Genomic DNA, 5,148 nt, shown 5'->3' with positions numbered 1-5,148 from the left:
AGGTCGTAAGAAAGGGTTTCCAGAATTACACAATTGAGTCAGTAGAATTACACCGGTTGAGTCAGTAGTTACTACTGGTTCTGAAAATTAAAAGGAGAGGATGATATCCTACTTCAGAGATACATTTCTAGAGACCTAGGAGCCTAGGAAATTCTGGCTGAAGTGTTTACCCTAGATCTGTGCAGTTCTGATCAAGCCTGATTACATCAGGCTGGATTGTGGATGATGCCATATATCCAGGAGGGAGGGTCGTGTCCCCTTTTTATTTATGTTCCATTTCATTTAGTATGCGTAGTGGGCATGGTGCCACTCTGACTTTTAACCCTAATGGAGAGAGCACACAAGTTGACTGGGAACCTCTAGGGAAAAACAAGCTTTAATGATAATTTGAGTGTAAAATCTGGTCTCTGGAAGAAAGGTCACCACATCTGCATAGCCCCTGGAGTCAGGCTTAGAGCCCTGTCTGCCTTCAAATAAAAAAGCATTTTCCTGTGTCTTAAGGCTGCTTTAGTTTGAGGTACAAGGAGCACATGACAGAATCAGGGGAACTGAGTGATGTTTGTGCATGTTTGACTGCACTCTGCATCCTAAGAGAAGACTTTGGAGAAACCCAATCAATACTACAAGCATGTCCTGGACAGCAGCAGTGCTGTTTTCATTCTGTTACAATAATGAATTGAAGTCTCCCAACAGCAGGTATAATAAGCACTACTCAACCCTTGATATTCAATCACCTTTAACTGGTTATATCTATCTAAAATTCACTGTTAACTGTGGTTTTACAATACCCCATTGGCAACCTTTTATGGCTCTCTCTGCACAAAAATGCAAAAACATCAAAAATGCCTCTTAGTGCCATATACTCAGTGCTTCCCTATATTTGCTAAAATGTTTTCCATTTTTTATTTAAAGTCCAGTGGAAGACATTCAGAAATTGTGCACAAAATGAAGTGGTTTTCCCTTCAGTTGGAAATTATTTTTGCCATTACTGTTAGCCTAGAGTTCATATTTTCATCGTCCTAGTTGTGAAGTGATTTCGTGCTATCTAGATGCCCTAAAGCAAACTAATCTTTTACAAATAAAAATGAAGAAACCATTTTTTTTTCTCAAGGCCCACTTGCTTTTTTGGGGGGTTGTGGTTTATGGTTACTTTTTATTTCCTTAAAGCATTCTTTTTGCTATAGAATAAAAAGCAGATTAACAAATGCAGTTTATGCACAGTAGAAATGAGCAAGTGTTTCCAATTTACTGTTTTAATGCAAATGAGACAAGAAATTAAGGGCTCATGAAAAATCCTGGTAAAAATCCACATTCTAGAGAGAATCCAGGTTTAGAATTCACAGTCTGAATATGGATAACTACATCTCCTTATTTTACTAGCTTTCATTTGGTTTTCAATTTAGTTTTAAATACGAAGAATCTATTGTTTCAGTGTTAATTCAACATTTGAACAAGAACATCTAGTCAATTCAAGCTGTTATAAGGTCATATCAAATTATATTGCTAAACTTTAAGATTTCAATTTGATCAGTTCTGTGTGCTTCATGCAAATGAGATACATTTGACCCAAATAGGATCTTGGATAGGCAGGCAAGCTAGTGGCCTACATAACTACCTTTGCCTTACTCACCAAAATTGGCTTATACTCATTTTTCGTTTATTTTCCATTTGATCCAAGGGCTTTGTGGATGATTTCATTGGATTCTTTGAAACATTCATTTTTTTTTTCTGTGTAAAATGCAAAACAAAGCAACAATAATAGAAGCCCAAACTGGTTACCATAATATAACAAGCATGGCTTAAAATTTTTTAAGGTTTCATTATGCAGAATCAGCAAAAGTATATAATCTATTTTTATCTAAATACCAAAACATTTGCAATATGTAAGAAAGATAATAATGGAAGTTATTCTCATGATAAAATTCATAACTTTCACTATTCCTAAAAATATGAATACATGACTAGTTCAATAATGATAAATATTTTATACATAGATTAGATTTTATAGATAAGATTTAAAATAATAAACCTTTTTTTTATGTCTTGCATTCAGAATAGGCAAACTTCTATTCCAGAACAAATAAAAGCTAAAGGTTTCTATCAAAGCAAGGGTGGTAAAACTAAACTTAGCTTTTATAATAAAAATACTGACAAATTCAATTTCCCATTCTACTACCAACTAATTCTGAAATGTTTTGAAGTAGCACCAGGCTGTGGAGTAATGCAATCTGCAAAATATCACCAATATTTTCAAACATGTGGTAATGATTTTTCTCACACTTAAAAGTGGCCCCAATTCTAACAATAAGCACAGTTCTTTAGAAAAAAATGTTAACTTTGACAGGTTTGCTAGCAATTTTTCTATTATGCTTAACGAGAGATCACTAACTTTTTCTAATACTTCAAAAGATCACTGCATTTTGATGAAGAGGTGTTTGCAATCATGATAAAACCTTATTGCCCAAGCAAATAATGGGGATACTAGGCTAATATGCTAACGAACCCGGCTACCTATATTTAAGATAATTATAATGTTGACAATTATTAATTCCCAAACTGTGGAATCTTTATAACCTATTGTATGAAACAGATTAAGAAATATCTTATTCTCACAATATCTACAGTGTAAAACGTAGACTTTAGTCTACATAAAACAAACTCAAAATTATGAGCATGCATATTCCTGATAAAGCAAGAATTATTTCTCTTAAATTGTAAAGAAATCTAAATTCTATGAAAATTTGAAAATGCATTACAATTATTCTCAAGGTATTATAAAAATTTCAAAATATTATATATTATAAAAATTATTAAATTTTATTATTGAACTGATACAATGACATCTGTAGCGGTGAAATGAAAGGGTTTAGGAGGAAAAATATTGAGATTCAGTATCATGACCAAATTCCTTGTTTTAATAGAAACACAAAAAATATGTATTTTATATAATAAATTAATGACTAGAAGCATAATAAACTTTTGAAAAATATTTAAGATAAACAATATTTGTCTTTTTGACATGCCTTCATTCAAGATGTGAAGTAAAATTCATTGAGGTTCAGCCACTGTAGAAAAATGTTTCCTAGCTAGAACGTAGAAATGATTTAATAAGTTCTATGAAAAGTCAATTTGCATGAGATCAGCACCTCGCCTATAACGGGTAGTAATGGATTGTTGGCTTGATTTTATACCACTTGACATCAGATTACAATACACTGAATAAATGTTAACCTATAATCCCTTTAGTGAAAGCGAGCATTGTTTGTCTTCCCTTGTAGAGACCACATTGATTTTCTTTTATTGGATGCTCAACCACTGCACCTTAGGTTGATTACTTTGAATTAAATGTGCAGAGAACATTTTTATTATTCTAAAACAGCAATCTTAATATTAAGAAGATGCACTTCCTCCCCATCCCTTTCATACTACAGAATGTATATTCAGCTATATTATTTGGATTTCTTTAGTTTTCCCATTTTGTTTCAAGTCTGCTCTGATGCTGACCTCAACTCTGCCCCTGTGACCCTTGACCCAGATGCATCTGACCAGTCAAGGCTCTGGGGGTGGCAAATTAATAGAAGCCCTGCTTGTTAATTGCATAAAAGAAAAGCCAAAGAATTCATCACCTCAGTCATGGCCATTGCTTTCCTTTGACCCCTTCTCCCACAAGGCTTTTGCTGGTGGTCACATCTGTGGTTTTCCTATAGCCTACATATTTGCCATATAATTATTCAGCATCAAACCTTATTAATCAAATCGATGCTGTGTTTTAAATGGAAATTGCAGGATTAATACAAGCATTCATTTCATCCTGAAAATCTTGATGGCTTTAGCATATGGAATCCAATTGGAATATAAAAGAAGGGATGTAGAGACCTGATTGAATTAGGGGAGGCATGGTGCACATTAAATTACATATGCCAGCAGGGTTCCATGCTTTTATAGTAAAATACTGCTTTGGAGTCCATACGTCATATACCTCTTGTGACTTTCTGTTACTCACTAGCACTCTCAAGACAAGCAAGCATATAAAAGGTTTCCATATTTTAAAAACATCTTTTTAAAATATCCAATATGTTTTCCATAGAAAAAAATATGTCCTATGACTATCTCATTGAATCTATAAAAGATTATCTCAAGAAGATATAGCTAAAACTGAGCATATTTTCTATTAAATGGTGCTAGACATCTCTTTGCATAAGGGGAAAGGATCGGTAAATCTATAAAATCAATTTCAATATACAGTTTTTTATTCTAAATGCTTCACATAGAAGGTCAATAAATATTAATTAAATAAATAAAAAGTATTTTATACGAGGCCTGGGAAACTATTCATATTTATTTTACATTATTATACAAAACACTATTTGAGATTGAGACTTGAAGACCAGTGCTACAGCCAGACTGTTATTGACAAGTACCATGAAGATATTAGCAAAGCTCAATAACTTATTCTTTGGGGTTAACCCTGACCTAACGTAATATTAGCATTAGCATATCAATAGCCTAAGGAAATAAGGTCCAATTATGTTCTTTAGTTCTTCAATTAGAAAATTCTGGTATATTCTAGAAGTTATCATTTCTCACAGAGATAGCCTTAGCTCAGTTTTTGTTTTTAGTCTTCGTGAACATGAGAGAAAAAGTGCATGTCTTTGTTTTAACAGCTCTAATATGGTATGAATAAGCTGTTGACACATTTATATGTGACCATTTGAAAGGGATTTAAATACAATGGAATTACAGTAATCATGAAAAGGCAATTACAAAATCTTAAAGCAATTTAGTTAAGGGTGCTCAGTAATGGGGAAGTGGTATTGCCTCATTCAGAAGTTAGGTATCCTACAAGATACTCTTCCTAAAATTTCCTAATTCCATGCCACTTAAAGCTCAAGCTTTGTCTCACCTAAAACAAATTTAAAATCACTTTTGAGATTGGCTATAATTTTGTTTTGTTTTAACAAATGAAACATAGATCTTTCTACAAAGGCCTCTGATAATCCCCATGTATAATTATGTGAACTAGGAAAAGGTATGCCCTTTAGACAAACACAACACCCTGCACGCCCAGCTTGGTAAGATTTTATCTTACCAAGGTATAGACAAAGAAACACCTTGCCAGGGTGCATTTCATGTCTCCTTATGCTCACG

The 5,148-nt window shown here is 33.3% G+C and overlaps 1 annotated feature.

Moving 5' to 3' along the window:
• Nucleotides 2,670-4,696: an enhancer, noted in NCBI's record as "VISTA enhancer hs1079". NCBI's record gives its function as "enhancer in: neural tube[6/9] | hindbrain (rhombencephalon)[7/9] | midbrain (mesencephalon)[7/9]" and the evidence as "EXISTENCE:transgenic organism evidence [ECO:0001131][PMID:17130149]".

Source organism: Homo sapiens, chromosome 5 (assembly GCF_000001405.40).
Source record: "Homo sapiens chromosome 5, GRCh38.p14 Primary Assembly".
Classification (NCBI taxonomy): Eukaryota; Metazoa; Chordata; class Mammalia; order Primates; family Hominidae; genus Homo; species Homo sapiens.
This window is presented reverse-complemented; position numbering and strand designations above follow the sequence as displayed.